Source organism: Homo sapiens, chromosome Y (genome assembly GCF_000001405.40).
Source record: "Homo sapiens chromosome Y, GRCh38.p14 Primary Assembly".
NCBI lineage: Eukaryota > Metazoa > Chordata > Mammalia > Primates > Hominidae > Homo > Homo sapiens.
Genome location: NC_000024.10, coordinates 11,980,191 through 12,000,047, shown reverse-complemented (window position 1 = coordinate 12,000,047; position 19,857 = coordinate 11,980,191). Strand labels below are relative to the sequence as shown.

The 19,857-nt window shown below is 41.7% G+C and overlaps 1 pseudogene; it reads right to left on the bottom strand.

Moving 5' to 3' along the window:
* The window catches only part of MXRA5Y (matrix remodeling associated 5 Y-linked (pseudogene)), a 31,407-nt pseudogene continuing 23,014 nt past the window's right edge, over positions 11,465-19,857 (bottom strand).

The following is a 19,857-nucleotide window of genomic DNA, read 5'->3' as shown; positions in this document are numbered from 1 at the left end:
AAAGAAAGAGAATTTCAGACCAATATCCTTGATGAACATTAATATAAAAATCCTCAATAAAATACTGGCAAACCGAATGCAGAAACACATCAAAAAGCTTTTCCACCATAATCAAGTTGGCTTCATCCCTGGGATGCAAGACTAGTTCAACATATGCAAATCAATAAACTTAATCCACCATATAAACAGAACCAATGACAAAAACCACATGATTATCTCAATAGATGCAGAAAATGCCTCTGACAAAATTCAACAACCTTCATGCTAAAAACTACCAATAAATTAGGTATTGATGGGACATATCTCAAAATAATAAGAGCTATCTATGACAAACCCACAGCCAATATCATACCGAATGCACAAAACTGGAAGCATTCCCTTTGAAAACTGGCACAAGACAGGGATGCCCTCTCTCACCACTCCTATTCAACATAATGTTGGAAGTTCTGGCAAGGGCAATCAGGCAGGAGAAGAAAATAAAGGGCATTCAATTAGGAAAGGAGGAAGTCAAATTGTCCCTGTTTGCAGATGACATGATTGTATTTCTAGAAAAACCCATTGTCTCAGCCCAAAATCTCCTTAAGCTGATAAGCAATTTCAGCAAAGTCTCAGGATACAAAATTAATGTGCAAAACTAACAAGCATTCTTACACACCAATAACAGGGAAACAGAGAGCCAAATCCTGAGTGAACTCCCATACACGATTGCTTCAAAGAGAATAAAATACCTAGGAATCCAACTTACAAGGGATGTGAAGGACCTCTTCAAGGAGAACAACAAACCACTGCTCAATGAAATAAAAGAGGATATAAACAACTTGAAGAACATTCCATGCTCATGGGTAGGAAGAATCAATATCATGAAAATGGCCACACTGCCTAAGGAAATTTATAGATTCAATTCCATCCCCATCAAGCTACCAATGACTTTCTTCACAGAATTGGAAAAATCTACTTTAAAGTTCATATGGAACCAAAAAATAGCCCACATTGCCAAGTCAATCCTAAGCCAAAAGAGAACAAAGCTGGAGGCACCACGCTACCTGACTTCAAACTATACTGCAAGTCTACAGTAACAAAAACAGCATGGTACTGGTACCAAAACAGAGATATAGACCAATGGAACAGAACAGAGTCCTCAGAAATAATGCCACGTATCTACAACCATCTGATCTTTGACAAACCTGAGAAAAACAAGCAATGGGGAAAGGATTCCTTATTTAAGAAATGGTGCTGGGAAAACTGGCTAGCCATATGTAGAAAGCTGAAACTGGATCCCTTCCTTACACCTTATACAAAAATTAATTCAAGATGGATTAAAGACTTACATGTTAGACCTAAAACCATAAAAAACCCTAGAAGAATACCTAGGCATTTCCATTCAGGGCATAGGCATGGGCAAGGACTTCATGTCTAAAACACCAAAAACAATGGCAACAAAAGCCAAAATAGACAAATGGGATCTGATTAAACTAAAGAGCTTCTGCTCAGCAAATGAAACCACCATCAGAGTGAACAGGCAACCTATAGAATGGGAGAACATTTTTGCAACCTACTTGTCTGACAAAGGGCTAATATCCAGAATCTACAATGAACTCAAACTAATTTACAAGAAAAAAAATAAACAACCCCATCAAAAAGTGAGAAGGATATGAACAGACACTTCTCAAGACATTTATGCAGTGAAAAAACACATGAAAAAATGCTCATCATCATTGGCCATCAGAGAAATGGAAATAAAACCACAATGAGATACCATCTCACACCAGTTAGAATGGCAATCATTAAAAAGTCAGGAAACAACAGGTGCTGGAGAGGATGTGGAGAAATAGGAACACTTTTACACTGTTGGTGGGACTGTAAACTAGTTCAACCATTGTGGAAGTTGGTGTGGCTATTCCTCTGGGATCTAGAGCTAAAAATACCATTTAACCCAGCCATCCCATTATTGGTTATATACCCAAAGGATTATAAATCATGCTGCTATAAAGACACATGCACATGCATGTTTATTGTGGCACTATTCACAATAGCAAAGACTTGGAACCAACCCAAATGTCCAACAATGATAGACTGGATTAAGAAAATGTGGCACATATACACCATGGAATAATATGCAGCCATAAAAAATGATGAGTTCGTGTCCTTTGTAGGGACCTGGATGAAGCTGGAAACCATCATTCTCAGCAAACTGTCACAAGGACAAAAACCAAACACCGCATGTTCTCACTCATAGGTGGGAACTGAATAATGAGAACACATGGACACCGGAAGGGGAACATCACACATCGGGGACTGTTTTGGAGTGTGGGGAGAGAGGAGAGATAGCATTAGGTGATATACCTAATGCTAAATGATGAGTTAATGGGTGCAGCACACCAACATGGCACATGTATACATATGTAACAAACCTGCACATTGTGCACATGTACCCTAAAACTTAAAGTATAATAATAATAAGAAAAGAAATAAAAATATATGTTACCTTCAGAAAGAAAAAAAAAAAAACAGAATGGACTCCTTCTCAGTTTTGGAGACCAGAAGTCTGACATCAAAGTGTCTCAGGGCCATGCTCCCTATGGAGGCTCTAGGGGAGGATCCTTCCTGCCTCTCCCAGCTCCTGGGGGGCTCCAGATGTCCCTGGGCTTGTGGCTGCATCACTCCAGTCTGCCTCCATCTCCACAAGGCCTTCTCCTGTGTCTGTTCCTCCTGTTTTGTCTCTTAGGACAGACACCTATTATTGGATTTAGAGCCCGTCTAATCCAGGATGAACTCGTCTCAAGATCTTTAACTTAATTACACCTGCAAAGACCCTATTTCCAAATAAGGTCCCATTCCCAGGATCTGGGAGTCAGAATATGGGCATATATTTTGGGGGCCACTGTTCAATGCACTACAATTGTATGCAGTTCCCTCTGGATGTTCCAGGGGAGGATCCTTCCTACCTCTTCCAGATCCTGGGGGCTCCAGGAATCCCTGGGCCATGTCACTCCATTTTCTGCCTCTGTCTCCACATGGCCTCCTCCTCTGTGTCTGTGTCCCCTGATTTGTCTCTTATAGGCACACTTATTGCATTTAGAACCCATCCTTATCCAGAATAATCTCATTTCCAGGTCCTTCACATGATTACATCTGCAAAAACTCTTTTTTCAAATAAGGTTGCACTGACAGGTTGCAGGTAGAAATGATTTTTTTGCAAACTGCAGCCTCAAACTCCTGGGCTCAAGTAATCCTCCTAGCTCAGCCTCCTGAGTAGCTGTGACTACGGGCCTGCACCACTATTACATTATATCTATTACTAAACCCCAGGTCTCTTTACTTGAGGGTCGCACTTTCTTCATGATCTTTTTGCGGCCAGGAGAACACGTCCTCTCATTTGTTCATATCATTCTGCCCAGCCATTCTTCTATTCTTGACTCAGTGAAAATGCTATCTAAGTCATAAAAATATAGCTCTTTTTAAATGGGACTACAATCCCACTTGGTTTTTTAATCTTCTAGAATCTGAATGCTCTCTGAAACACTTTTAATGTTTCCAAACACCTCTTCAGCCCATCACCTCATGTGAATGCAGAAATTTTTGTTGATAGGATGTTTTTGCCAATTTTTTTCCAGGTAAAATTTTACCAAGGTATGTCCTGCAGAAACATTCTCTACACCTAGGTGAACTTACCTCCCCAGATCTCAGTTTCCACATCATGCACTGAAGAAGACTGTCCAAATGAACATGTTTCTGAAACCCTCTGCTGCGTGTATTTACCTAGCACAGTGTTTCGCAATCAGGAAAGGTACAGCCTTATGCAGGGAATGTAGCCATATCTAGAGACATTTTTGGTTGTCCACTGGGGTGGTGCGTGCTCCTGGCATCTTGTGGGTGGAGCCCAGGGACTCTGCTCAACACCCTACAGTGCACAGGACAGTCCCACCATAGAGAATCCTCCTGCCCCAGATGTCCATACTGCTGAGGCGGAGAAATCCTTAGCATGAGAAACTCTATCTATTATCCATCCAGTCAACCCTCATTTATTTGTCTGTGTATGTATGTATGTATGTATGTATGTATGTATGTATGTATCTATCTCTCATCTCTATCTATCTATCTCTCATCTCTATCTCTCATCTCTCATCTATCATCCATCCATTCATCTATCACCTATCCAACCATGCATCTTCTATTTATCTATACATCTATCATCTACCCAACTACCTATCTAATCCACCCAACCATCTGTCATCAGTCTATCTACATAGGTATCTATCCAATTATTGATCATCTATTCAACCATACATTATCTGTCACTCTATCTTCTATCTATAATTCATCCAAACATACATCTATTTATCTATATACCTATCATCCACCCAACCATCCATCATTTATTTATCTGTGTATCTATCATCCATCCAACCATCCATCATTTATCCATCCATCATTTATCTATCTATCCTCCATCCAACCATCTATTATCTATCTACCTATCTTACTCCTATCTGTATCTACTATCTATTTATATCTATCAATCATCTATCTGTATCAATCTTTGTCCCCTATCTATATCTATTATCAACCTATCATCTATCTCTTTGTATCTGCCAGTCATTTATCTATCACCTGTCTACCATCTATCTATCACTTATCTATCTATATCAATCATCTATCAGTTATCTATTTACCAATCTAATCTGTCCGCATCAGTGGCTCTCAGGAGCAAGTTTGCACCCTCTAAAGGGGCATTTGGTAATGTCCAGAGACATTTTGGTCATCACAACTTTTTGGGGGTGGGGGGATGCTAGCATGTGGCAGGTAGAGCCCAGGGATACTTCTCAACACCCTACACAGGACACCCAAGCCCAGAGAATCATCCATCCCCAAATGTCATTCATGGGCATTTTGAGAGACCCTGCACCATCTGAAGAACCAGTCTATTGAGCATAAACACTCCAAGCACCACCTCCTCCTCCTCCTCTCTGCTTCCTCAGGCTCTGTTGATATCCAGCACAAGTAAGGGCTGTGCAGACATATTTAAGCAAATAAGTGGATTCATGAATGAGAGACATGCTCTATGCCTTCCACAGAGTTAAAAAAAAATAAACCAGCATTCTTTAGTTTCCATGACCGACATTCTTTAACAATTTGTGACACTGCATTTCTTGAAATGCTGACAGTAATATTTTTCCCAAATATTTATCTTGTTTGCCTTTTTCCTTACTCTCAGGGGAAGCAAAAGAAGGACAGTTTTGCATATTTGTGGAATACAAATACATGTATATACAGGTGTCTCTTTGAAAACAATATAAAAAAGAAAAATCCTGAATGATTTCCTAGAGCACTGCTTCTCAGTCCCCAAGCTGTCTTGCTGAATACTGAAATTGTCACTACATGCAACTGACACTCAAATCCTGCCTTCCTGCCTGCCAAATCTGTCATCAGAAGCATTGCCTTTGACTCAGTTTCCTTGCCTGTTAAAAATGTGTAGAGAAGCTAATCATTGAGAGAAGGTGATGAAAGCAGTTTTTTCAACCACTCTGATGGAAACCCAAATTAATGTGACCCTCTTTTGTCCTTGAAAATAGCATTGTTGAAGATGGCCGAATAGCAACAGCTCCGGTCTACAGCTCCCAGTGTGAGCGACGCAGAAGACGGTGATTTCTGCATTTCCATCTGAGGTACTGGGTTCATCTCATTGGGGAGTGCCAGACAGTGGGCGCAGGTCAGTGGATGCGTGCACTGTGTGGCAGCCAAAGCAGGGCAAGGCATTGCCTCACTTGGGAAGCGCAAGGGGTCAGGGAGTTCCTTTCCGAGTCAAAGGAAGGGGTGACAGATGGCACGTGGAAAATTGGGTCACTCCCACCTGAATACTGCGTTTTTCCAATGGGCTTAAAAAAACGGTGCACCACGAGATTATATCCCGCACCTGGCTCGGAGGGTCCTACACCCACAGAGTCTCGCTGATTGCTAGCACAGCAGTCTGAGATCAAACTGCAAGGTGGCAGCGAGGCTGGGGGAGGGGCGCCCGCCATTGCCCAGGCTTGCTTAGGTAAACAAAGCAGCCAGGAAGCTTGAACTGGGTGGAGCCCACCACAGCTCAAGGAGGCCTGCATGCCTCTGTAGGCTCCACCTCTGGGGGCAGGGCACAGACAAACAAAAAGACAGCAGTAACCTTTGCAGACTTAAATGTCCCTGTCTGACAGCTTTGAAGAGAGCAGTGGTTCTCCCAACACGCAGCTGGAGATCTGAGAAGGGGCAGACTGCCTCTTCAAGTGGGTCCCTGACACCTGACCCCCGAGCAGCCTAACTGGGAGGTACCCAGCAGGGGCAGACTGACACCTCACACAGCCGGGTATTCCAACAGACCTGCGGCTGAGTGTCCTGTCTGTTAGAAGGAAAACTAACAAACAGAAAGAACATCCACACCAAAAACTCATCTGTACATCACCATCATCAAACACCAAAAGTAGATAAAACCACAAAGATGGCGAAAAAACAGAACAGAAAAACTGGAAACTCTAAAAAGCAGAGAGCCTCTCCTCCTCCAAAGGAATGCAGTTCCTCACCAGCAACAGAAGAAAACTGGACGGAGAATGACTTTGACGAGCTGAGAGAAGAAGGCTTCAGACAATCAAATTATTCTGAGCTATGGGAGGACATTCAAACCAAAGGCAAAGAAGTTGAAAACTTTGAAAAAACTTTAGAAGAATGTATAACTAGAATAACCAATACAGAGAAGTGCTTAAAGGAGCTGATGGAGCTGAAAACCAAGGCTCAAGAACTACGTAAAGAATGCAGAAGCCTCAGGAGCCGATGTGATCAACAGCAAGAAAGGGCATCAGTACTGGAAGGTGAAATGAATGAAATGAAGTGAGAAGGGAAGTTTAGAGAAAAAAGAATAAAAAGAAATGAGCAAAGCCTCCAAGAAATATGGGACTATGTGAAAAGACCAAATCTACGCCTGATTGGTGTACCTGAAAGTGATGGGGAGAATGGAACCATGTTGGAAAACACTCTGCAGGATATTATCCAGGAGAACTTCCCCAATCTAGCAAGGAAGGCCAATGTTCAGATTCAAGCGGATCTCTCGGCAGAAACCCTACAAGCCAGAAGAGAGTGGGGGCCAATATTCAACATTCTTAAAGAAAAGAATTTTCAACCCAGAATTTCATATCCAGCCAAACTAAGCTTCATAAGCAAAGGAGAAATAAAATACTTTACAGAAAAGCAAATGCTGAGAGATTTTGTCACCATCAGGCCTGCCCTAAAAGAGCTCCTGAAGGAAGCGCTAAACATGGAAAGGAACAACCAGTAACAGCCACTGCAAAATCATGCCAAATTGTAAAGACCATCAAGACTAGGAAGAAACTGCATCAACTAACAATCAAAATAACCAGCTAGCATCATAATGACAGGATCAAATTCACACATAACAATATTAACTTTAAAGGTAAATGGACTAAATTCTCCAATTAAAAGACACAGACTGGCAAATTGGATACAGAATCAAGACCCATCAGTGTGCTGTATTCAGGAAACCCATCTCACGTGCGAGACACATACAGGCTCAAAATAAAAGGATGGAGGAAGATCAACCAAGCAAATGGAAAACAAAAAAAGGCAGGGGTTGCAATCCTAGTCTCTCATAATACAGACTTTAAACCAACAAAGATAAAAAGAGACAAAGAAGGCCATTACATATTGGTAAAGTGATCAATTCAACAAGAAGAGCTAACTATCCTAAATATATATGCACCCAATACAGGAGCACCAAGATTCATAAAGCAAGTCCTGAGTGACCTACAAAGAGACTTAGACTCCCACACATTAATAATGGGAGACTTTAACACCCCACTGTCAACATTAGACAGATCAACGAGACAGCAAGTCAACAAGGATACTCAGGAATTGAACTCGGCTCTGCACCAAGCGGACCTAATAGACATCTACAGAACTCTCCACCCCAAATCAACAGAATATACATTTTTTTCAGCACCACAGCACCTATTCCAAAATTGACCACATACTTGGAAGTAAAGCTCTCCTCAGCAAATGTAAAAGAACAGAAATTATAACAAACTATCTCTCAGACCACAGTGCATACAAACTAGAACTCAGGATTAAGAATCTCACTCAAAACTGCTTAACTACATGGAAACTGAACAACCTGCTCCTGAATGACTACTGGGTACATAACGAAATGAAGGCAGAAATAAAGATGTTCTTTGAAACCAACGAGAACAAAGACCCAACATACCAGAATCTCTGGGACACATTCAAAGCAGTGTGTAGAGGGAAATTTATAGCACTAAATACCCATAAGAGAAAGCAGGAAAGATCCAAATTTGACACCCTAACATCACAATTAAAAGAACTAGAAAAGCAAGAGCACATTCAAAAGCTAGCAGAAGGCAAGAAATAACTAAAATCAGAGCAGAACTGAAGGAAATAGAGACACAAAAAACCCTTCAAAAAATTAATGAATCCAGGAGCTGGTTTTTTGAAAGGATCAACAAAACTTATAGACTGCTAGCAAGACTAATAAAGAAAAAAGAGAGAAGAATCAAATAGATGCAATAAAAAATGATAAAGGGGATAACACCACCGATCCCACAGAAATACAAACTACCATCAGAGAATACTACAAACACCACTATGCAAATAAACTAGAAAATCTAGAAGAAACGGATAAATTCCTGGACACATACACTCTCCCAAGACTAAACCAGGAAAAAGTTGAACCTATGAATAGACCAATAACAGGATCTGAAATTGTGGCAATAATCAATAGTTTACCAACCAAAAAGAGTCCAGGACCAGATGGATTCACAGCCGAATTCCACCAGAAGTACAAGGAGGAACTGGTACCATTCCCTCTGAAACTATTCCAATCAATAGAAAAAGAGGGAATCCTCCCTAACTCTTTTTATGAGGACAGCATCATCCTGATACCAAAGCCAGGCAGAGCACAACAAAAAAAGAGAATTTTAGACCAATATCCTTGATGAGCATTGATGGAAAAATCCTCAATAAAATACTGGCAAAACAAACCCAGCAGCACATCAATAAGCTTATTCACCATGATCAAGTGGGCTTCATCCCTGGGATGCAAGCCTGGTTCAATTTACACAAATCAATAAATGTAATCCAGCATATAAACAGAACCAAAGACAGAAACCACATGTTTATCTCAATAGATGCAGAAAAGGCCTTTGACAAAATTCAACAACTCTTCATGCTAAAAACTCTCAATAAAATAGGTATTGACGGGACGTATTTCAAAATAATAAGAGCTATCTATGACAAACCCACAGCCAATATCATACTGAATGGGCAAAAACTGGAAGCATTCCCTTTGAAAACTGGCACAAGACAGGGATGCCCTCTCTCTCACCACTCTTATTCAACCTAGTGTTGGAAGTTCTGGCCAGGGCAATTAGGCAGGAAAAGGAAATAAAGGGTATTCAATTAGGAAAAGAGGAAGTCAAATTGTCCCTGTTTGCAGACGACATGACTGTATATCTAGAAAACCCCATTGTCTCAGCCCAAAATCTCCTTAAGCTGATAAGCAACTTCAGCAAAGTCTCAGGATACAAAATCAATGTACAAAAATCACAAGCATTCTTATACACCAACAACAGACAAACAGAGAGCCAAATCATGAGTGAACTCCCATTCACAATTGCTTCAAAGAGAATAAAATACCTAGGAATCCAACTTACAAGGTATGTGAAGGACCTCTTCAAGGAGAACTACAAACCACTGCTCAAGGAAATAAAAGAGGATACAAACAAATGGAAGAACACTCCATGCTAATGGGTAGGAAGAATCAATATCGTGAAAATGGCCATACTGCCAAAGGTAATTTACAGATTCAATGCCATCCCCATCAAGCTACCAATTACTTTCCTCACAGAATTGGAAAAAACTGCTTTAAAGTTCATATGGAACCAAAAAAGAGCCCACATCGCCAAATCAATCCTAAGCCAAAAGAACAAAGCTGGAGGCATCACACTACCTGACTTCAAACTATAATACAAGGCTACAGTAACCAAAACAGCATGGTACTGGTACCAAAACAGAGATATAGATCAATGGAACAGAACAGAGAACTCAGAAATAATGTCGCATATCTACAACTATCTGATCTTTGGCAAACCTGAGAAAAACAAGCAGTGGGGAAAGGATTCCCTATTTAATAAATGGTGCTGGGAAAACTGGCTAGCCATATGTAGAAAGCTGAAACTGGATCTCTTCCTTACACCTTATACAAAAATCAATTCAAGATGGATTAAAGACTTAAACATTAGACCTAAAACCATCAAAACCCTAGAAGAAAACCTAGGCGTTACCATTCAGGACATAGGCATGGGCAAGGACTTCATGTCTAAAACACCAAAAGCAATGGCAACAAAGGACAAAATTGACAAATTGGATCTAATTAAACTAAAGAGCTTCTGCACAGCAAAAGAATCTACCGTCAGAGTGAACAGGCAACCTACAACATGGGAGAAAACTTTCACAACCTACTCATCTGACAAAGGGCTAATATCCAGAATCTACAATGAACTCAAACAAATTTACAAGAAAAAAACAAACAACCCCATCAAAAAGTGGGTGAAGGACATCAACAGACACTTCTCAAAAGAAGACATTTATGCAGCCAAAAAACACATGAAAAAATGTCCATCATCACTGGCCATCAGAGAAATGCAAATCAAAACCACAATGAGATACCATCTCACACCAGTTACAATGGCAATCATTAAAAAGTCAGGAAACAACAGGTGCTGGAGAGGATGTGGAGAAATAGGAACACTTTTACACTGTTGGTGGGACTGTCAACTAGTTCAACCACTGTGGAAGTCAGTGTGGCGATTCCTCAGGGATCTAGAACTGGAAATACCATTTGACCCAGCCATCCCCTTACTGGGTATATACCCAAAGGACTATAAATCATGCTGCTATAAAGACACATGCACACGTATGTTTATTGTGGCATTATTCACAATAGCAAAGACTTGGAACCAACCAAAATGTCCAACAATGATAGACTGGATTAAGAAAATGTGGCACATATACACCATGGAATACTATGCAGCCATAAAAAATGATGAGTTCATGTCCTTTGTAGGGATATGGATGAAATTGGAAATCATCATTCTCAGTAAACTATCGCAAGAAAGAGAAACCAAACACCGTATATTTTCACTCATAGGTGGGAATTGAACAATGAGATCACATGGACACAGGAAGGGGAATATCACACTCTGGGGACTGTTTTGGGGTGGGGGTAGGGGGGAGGGATAGCATTGGGAGATATACCTAATGCTAGATGACGAGTTAGTGGGTGCAGCGCACCAGCATGGCACATGTATACATATGTAACTAACCTGCACATTGTGCACATGTACCCTAGAACTTAAAGTATAATTAAAAAAAAAAAAAAGAAAATAGCATTGTCATCACTGCCAGGTTTTTGGGAGAATATATTTTATTATCAAATGTACAGTATATTGACCCTAAAATTACAGTAAAGCAGTCATGGAAATAACAGATCTTGTATTATTCATGGACACAGACTAACTCATGGTTGCGGAAGAAGCAGCCACCTTAGACCAGATGGACAAGTCAGATACTGCAGAGAAGTTTCTGGGCTTTCCAGGGAAGACTCTAGATTCAATTCTGGAAAGATATGATGCAGTTTTCTCCTCCTCTCCTCTCACCTCCGCTGAGCACAGCTTTCAACAAAAACTTTGCATACAAGGAAATCTAATATCACAGCCTTCCCCAGTGCAGGGTTGCTGGAGAAAGTAACATAACAGTAGCGACTGAATTTGAAGGAGGTTGGAGAGGAATTGTTTAAAATTCTATTTCCATGTCTGCTGTAATGTATCCAAGTCTTGTAAAGACCAATCATTTATTAATTTTAATGAGACAGAAAGTATTTCTCCTTCTAGTCTCATCATCTGATTTGAAAGGAAAAATATTTATATAAAAAAATTACATAAAAAGTGGGTTCCAGGAAGAAATGTTTTTTTCATATAAAATGGTAGCTGTATGTATGTAACTCTGAATTAAAATATATATATTATATATAAATTATATATATATAAATTTAATTTATATATATATAATTTATATATATAACAATCACTCTAGTTCTAAATCCTTATTGGGCAAGCTGGAGTTTTGAAGTGATAGAGGAAATAACTGAAAGATGACTTGTCAATCTGGAACAAAGTCTATCATGTAAAAACTGCAGCAGGTTAACTAGACGATGCATCTTCAATGGGGGAGTGAGGTGTTGTTCATGTCTATGGCTTATTTTCGGTGAATGTTCCTCAGATATCCTATGGACACTTACGCAGGCAGTCGAATGACATTTGCAAAAAAATAAAAATTACAGTCAGAGCACAGACACCCTGAATGAAGCCCCTGGCATGATGTAAACACAAAAGAAAGTTCTCAGTGAGGCTGAGCCCTTTTACTCATGTCTGTATTGCTTCCTTTTCCCAACAATTGTAGATCAAGATCAACCTCAACTTGAATCCCACCGGGGGCCACCATGCACTGTGACACATTATTTAAGAGCTCTGATTCCCCAGCCTGGCTTCCCTTACAAACCCCGCTTTGTTGTCAGTTCCTGAGCAATCATTCTGGAATCCACATTTCAGAAGACATGGATATAAGTTGTTTTGGAGTCACTGCTGAGAATGTTTTTTGCCGTGCACTTGTAGAAGCCAGCGTCTCTCCGTCTGGCCTGCTGGATGGTCAGTGATCCCTGGGGGTGAAGAAATCTGTTTCCATACAGACGAGCCTGAACCCCTGCCTTCAGATGCAACTTATCCGGTAACTCCCACGTGATGTCACCTTTGGGAATCCCCATAGCCATGCAGTTCAGTTTCACGGTGTTCCCGGGACGGGTGTAGATGACTGGGGTAGGCTCGCTGGTGATCCGGGGAGGATAGGCGATCACAATCACGGGGATGCTGGTGACCGAAGGGCCGTACGCCGTCTCCATCCTGCATACATAGGTACCCCTGTCAAACACCGAGGCCTCACGAACCGTGAGGGTGCCATTGTCCAGAAGAGAAACGCGTCCCAGGGTTTGGGGGCCCTCCAGATGCATGCCATTGGGGAGTGTCCAGGAGAAATGTCCCTGCCCAGCTGCAGGAGGGGTGCAGGGGAGCTTCAGGGTCTCACCATTGATGATGCTGACCAGGTTATGATACTGCTTGTTTGCTTCTGGCTTCAGTCCCACCTTCAGGGAGACCAGCCTCTCCGTGTGGCCCGCGGCATTGCGGGCCACGCAGCGGTAGGCCCCGGCGTCCACCGAGGAGAGACCGCTAATGTGTAGCATGCCGTCAGCCTTGTGGTAGAAGCGCTGCAGCTGCTGTCCACTCTGCAGATCGGTGCCATTGGGAAGGACCCACACCAGGCTGGGTGTCAGGGTCCCCGCGGCAGAGCAGTTGAGGCTGATGGTGTGGCCCGCCATGGCCGTGATCTTCTCGCTGATCGGGTCGTGGAAGATGGGTTTCTCCATGGGCTCCAGGACAGTGAGCTGCACGATCAACCTCGCCTCCCCTCCCTCGTTGCGTGCCATGCATACCAGCTGGACGGAGTCGCTCTTCCTCAAACTCCTGATGTCCAGGGAACCGTTGCCATGGACAGTGATCCGGTTTCCATAGTATGGATCTGGCAGAACCACACCCTCGGGAAAAGCCCATAACACCCTCGGGGTGGGGATGCCTTCAGCTTTGCAGTCAATCAGTTTCCGACTGCCCCCGGCTGCTATCTCCCACACGGTGGTGATGGGGTTGGGGTTACCATTGATCTTGGGTGGCTGGAGGTTGACGTGAATCCACACTGTCTTCCTATCCTCTCCGGCACTGTTCCTGACCAGGCAGGTGTAGTTGCCGCTGTCAGAGCACTGGGCTTTCTGAATAAGGAGAGTGCCATATTGGTATATCTGATACTTCTCAGAGGAGGTGGGGATCACCCTGTTGGCTGGGGACAACCAAGTCACCTTGGGCATGGGTTCTCCTTTGGCCTCACAGGTTACAGTGACCACATCTCCATAGGGTACCTGAACTGCCAAGTAAGTCTTGTTCCAGATGGTGGCAGGTGTCACCATCTTGACTCTGACTCTCATCTCATCCTTCCCAACCTGATTTTCAGCAAAGCAGGTGTAGTCTCCTTCCTCCCTCATCCCCACTTCACTGAAGTAGAGTGTCCCATTGTTGAAGACCACATAGTGCTTGGTGCGTCCACCACTGTCATCTGACTGCATGAAGGAGTTCACCAGACTCCCATCCAGGAGGCTCCAGGAGATCTCGGGATTGGGAAGTCCAGTGGCCACACAGTCCACTTTCAGGTCACCCCTGTAGAAGACTTTGTGGTCGTTCTCCTCCTTGTGTTCAATCTTGGCCGGTTTCATCATCACATCCACCTTGAGCACCACGCAGTCATCACCAACCTTATTTCGAGCTACACACAGGTAATCTCCGGCGTCTTTGTCTGTCATTGATTTCACCACCAGGGTCCTGTTGGCAAACACCTTGATTCTACTATCAAAACTACAGAAAAAAAGAAAAACAATTAAGATGTCAGTTTCCCAAATACTCTACCATGGCGTTATGTCACTGGAATAACACAAAAAATAGGTATTTCTGTGATGCATCAGCCCACGTGGCTGCTATTGCAAAATGCCCAATGGTTTTTACAGCCTGGAGAAGATTGTGGAAAGTGATTGACTGCAAATAACAACTCCCTGTTAAATCTGATGTTAGGTTGGCCTGACCATGGGTTCAAGGACATGAAATGTAGTCAAAGATGTCAGTCCTATTCCTGCAAGTGTGTCTGGATCAAGTATTTGCATGGTAGTCATTGCAGAGGTCAATGTAAAAACAAAATCAGATAAAATGCTGCAGTCATGGAGATGGTGATGAATCTGAGTCAGCCTAATAAAGATGTTAATTTCTTCCTGGAGAAAATGCTTTAGACACTGTTTCTACTTTTGGCAATTTTTTTTTTAAGCTGTTGTATCCCAGTTTTGGGCAAGAGTCAGAAAAAGCAACTCTAAGGTCATGTAATTATGGTTATGCCCAGAGTTCCAAGGCTAAAATTGGGCTCTTCAGAAGTTGGCAATATTGGTGTAACGGGTTTTCTAGAATTTGTAATTAAAGCTGAATAACACTCACTAGCTAAGACCCCAAGGCTGGTGTACCATTCTTCCCCATGAAGTCTAAGCACTGCTGAGTTAATAATTACAAACAGTTTAATAGAGGCAACCTAGAAAGGATGATAGGAAAATCTTCATTATATATGTAACAGTTTCATAAATACTGAAGTATCCTTTAGTTATTCAGAACTAGCATGTTGGATAATCCAGTGAAAAGATTGAGAAAGTTCTCACTTTTAAAATTGTCCCTGTTGAATCCTCCATGACACATACATTGTAATGGGAGCCTTAATATTTCCTAAATGCCACACTTTCTTTTTTTTCTGAAGAATTGGGATCTTGCTTTGTCATCCAGGGTGGAGTGCAGTGGTGCAATCATAGCTAACTGTAGTCTTGATCTCCTGGACTCAAGGGACCCTATTATCTCAGCCTCCTGAGTAGTTTGGACTATAACCATATACCAATATGCCTATGCCTGGCTGGAGGTGTTTTTTTGTTTGTTTGTTTGTTTGTTTGTTTGTTTTTTGCTTTTTTGTTTTTGTTTTTTTGTAGAGACAGGATTTTGCTATGTTGTCTGGGCTGGTTTTGAACTCCTGGACTTAAGTGATCCTTCTGCTCATCTCCCAAAGTGCTGGGAATACAGGCATGTGCCACCACATGTGGCAACATTCCATTTTTCTAATGACATGTCTAAGACAATGTCATAGATCTTAACAAAAATGAGCCTGCTTGTGCTTACATTCAACCTAATCATTGTAATAAAAGCAACAATTAACAATGACAAAATATACTGTTTTGTGGGTTATGAGTGAGAATGAAGTCAATGTAACTCAGTAAGGAATTTAATAGCTGTGGGGCAGGCAAGCACATTTTAATGTGTCTTGGAGTTTGAATCCAAAAATGATTATGGTAGCATGTGTATGTAAACGTTCTATGGCTTCCGTAACAGTGACCCCTAATCCAGTTTTCATCAGAATAAATCAACTGAGCAAATCTGAAAGCCACAGATGTCTATGCATTGTGAGGGATTTGACTTCAAGAAACAAAGCTCTGATACTTGTTTTTCTTTTTGTTTTTTGAGATGGAGTCTCACTTTGTCACCCAGGCTGCAGTGCAGTGGCCTGATCTTGGCTCACTGAAACCTCTACCTTCTGGGTTCAAGCAATTCTCCTGCCTCAGGCTTCCAAGTAGCTGGGACTACAGGCATGTGCACTATGCCCTGCTAATTTTTGTATTTTGAGTAGAGACAGGGTTTCACCATGTTGGTCAGGCTGGTCTTGAACTCCTGACCTCAAGCAATCCACCCACATTGGCCTCCCAAAGTGCTGGGATTACAGGTGTCAGGCATCACACAAGGCCCTATATTTTTATTTTTAAATAATCCCAACATGTAGGCAGGGAAGAGCCTGCTCTGACAAAATGCACATGATTTGTTCAATTACACTTTACTAAGAATATAGTCAGAATTTACAAAGAATAAAGTAACATAAATAACAGTTTATAATTTATTTAGGATTTATATGGAGATATTAATAGAATGACTCAAAAATCCTAGTGGAACTGCATTCTTGTACTGTTATCCATTCAAAATTGCCTCCACCATGCCAAATTCAATGGAAAACAGTTTTCTTAGTGGCAGCACATCTGCTAAGCTGGAAGGCATTCCTGGGTATATTTGGTACATGATTCTTCTGGACTGATTGTGCAAGCTCTTCAGAGCACCACCCAGCCATCTAAAGTATAAAATACAGGCAGGGGAAAGGCATCTCAGCCCTTTTCCTGAACTGCAAAGAGTCCTAGAAGGGCAGATACAAATGTGCAGAAGAAACCCTTGGACACTGATTTTGCTCTCACCATGGTGAGAGGCTTTCCTGCTTGAGCTGCTGAATGCCGAAGACAGCACAATCCAGGGATTCTCCACCATAGCAGCGTGAACTGAGTTGGACTCCATTTTACCTTTACTCTACTGTCAGTGTCCTCTATTTTTTGACACACTTATTAAAGAGATATTAGCCCTTTTTTGAATCTAGCTCAGGGTTTCTCAACCTTGGCACTAGTGACATTTGAGCCTAGATGATTCTCTGTGATGGGGCCAACCTATGAACTGTAGGGTGTTGAGCAATGTCCCTGGACTCCATCCACCAGATGCCAGCAGTATCCATCCCATCTGTGACAACCAAAAAATGTTTCCAGACACAGCCAAATGTCTCCTGGGAGTAAAATCTCCTTGGTTGCAAACAACTACCATAGCTAGCTAGCTAGCTAGATCAGTAGACAGACTAGATAGATAGATAGATAGAAAGATACATACATACATACATACATACATATCGATGGATGGATGGATAAATGGATGGAGAGATGGGTGGATGGATGAATAGATGGATACATAAGACATTAGAATGGATGGATGGATAGGTTAGGTAGATAGAAATGGATGGATAGATAAGCAGGTATATAGACAGATAGACCAACATTTTCATACTAAGATAGGGTTTCTTGGCTTCAGTACTAGGGACATTTAAGGCTGTATGGAGGATTCTTTGTGGTGGGTCTGTCTTGTGCACTGTAGGGTGTTGAGCAGCATCTCTGGGCTCCACCCACCAGATGCCAGTAACATTCATCCCATTTGTGACAACCAAAAAAATTGTTGTCAGACATAGCCAAATATCTCCTGGGAATAAAATCTCCCTGGTTGCAAGCAATTGCCATAGAGGGATAGGTAGGCAGGCAGATAGGCAGATAGATAGATAGATAGATAGATAGATAGATAGATAGATAGATAGACAGACAGACAGATATGGGTGTATGATTGAATGAATAGATACACAAGAGATAAGGATGGATGATAGGTTAGGTATACAGGAATGAATGAATGGATAAATAGATAGCTAAATGGACAGACAAAATCTTACATGCTAAGACAGGGTTACTTGACCTCAGCAGTATTAACATTTAAGGCAAGATGAATGCTAATCTGTGGTGGGGTGTCTTGTGCACTGTAGGATGTTGAGCAGGATCCCAGGGCTGCAGCAACCAGATACCAGAAGCACACCCTCCACCCCAGAGTCATGATGACCAAAAATGTCTCCATACATCACCAAGTGTCCCCTAGGGACTAAGGAACACCTGATGCCTGGTTGCAAACGACTGCCATAGATAATGGATGGATAGACAGAGAGATGATAGATAGATAGATAGATAGATAGATAGATAGATAGAAGATAGATGAAATAGGTAGAAGGATGGATAGATTATAGATTAGATAGATAGATAGATAGATAGATAGATAGATAGATAGATAGACAGATAGATAGATAGAATCTTTCCTGCTAAGACAGAGTAACTTGACCTCGGCACTATGGACATTGAAGGTAGGATGGATGACTATCTGTGATGGGCCATCCTGTGCACTGCAAGGTGTTGAGCACTGTCCCTGGGCTCCACCCACCAGATACCAGAAGCACCCACCGCCCCATTTGTGATAATCAAAGGTGTCTTCGGATGTTGCCAAGGGTTGTCCTGGGGCAAAATCACCCTTGGTTGAAAAGCACTGCCATAAACCTGTATATCTGGGAACTGATGGTACTTGATTAGAAGGTGGCTTTCTTCATAGCCCAAGTACATTTGTATCATTTCAAGTGCACTATGTTGGTGTGGTAATGATGCTTTTAAAACAATGTGTACACTTTGATTGTACCAATAATGCCATATTAAAATAAAGCCTAACACATCTATGTATATTGTTGAAATCTACAATGGAAATAGAAGCAAGCTGAATTGTTTGCCCTAACATTATAGTTAAACATATAATCATTAAAACAACAGTTTCTTGATTTATTTTTTTCCTTTTTTTTTTTTTTTGAATGGGACAAGAGAGGAGGAAGTTAAGTATTTGTTAAGAGGAAGTTAAGCATTCGTTGTAGATCCAAGTTTAGAGATACAAAATGTCATTGCATAAAAATCACACACAGGGTCAGGCGCGGTGGCTCAAGCCTGTCATCTCAGCACTTTGGTAGGTCAGGGCAGGAGGACTGCTTGAGGTTAAGTGTTCAAGATCATACTTGGCAACATAGCAGATCCCATCTCTACATAAATTGAAGAAAGAAGAAGAAGAGGAAGAGGAAGAGGAGGAAGAGGAAGAAAGAAGAAGAAGAATAGGAAGAGGAAGAGAGAAGAAAGAAGAAGAAGAAGAAGAAGAAGAAGAAGAAGAAGAAGAAGAAGAAGAAGAAGAAGGAGAAGAAGAAGAAAGAAGAAAAGAAGAAGAAAGAAGAGGAAGAAGAAGAAAGAAGAAGAAAGAAAAAGAAAGAAAGAAAAGAAGAAGAAGAGGAAGAAGAAAGGAAGAAGAAGAAGGAGAAGAAGGAGAGGAAGAAGAAGAGGAAGAAGAAGAAGAAAGAAGAAAAGAAGAAGAAGAGGAAGAAGAAGAAGGAGAAGAGGAAGAAGAAGAAGAAGAGTCGTGCCTCATGGTGCACACCTGTAATCCCAGCTACTCAGGGGATCGCTTCAGCCCAGGAGTTTGAGGCTGCAGTGAGGTATGATCGCACCACTGCACTGCAGTCTGGGTGACAGAGCAACACCCTGTCTCAACTTAATTAATTAACTTATTATTATTTTTAGATAGAGTGTCAGTCTGTCGTCCAGGCTGGCGTGCAGTGGCGTGATCTTGGCTCACTGCAACCGCCACC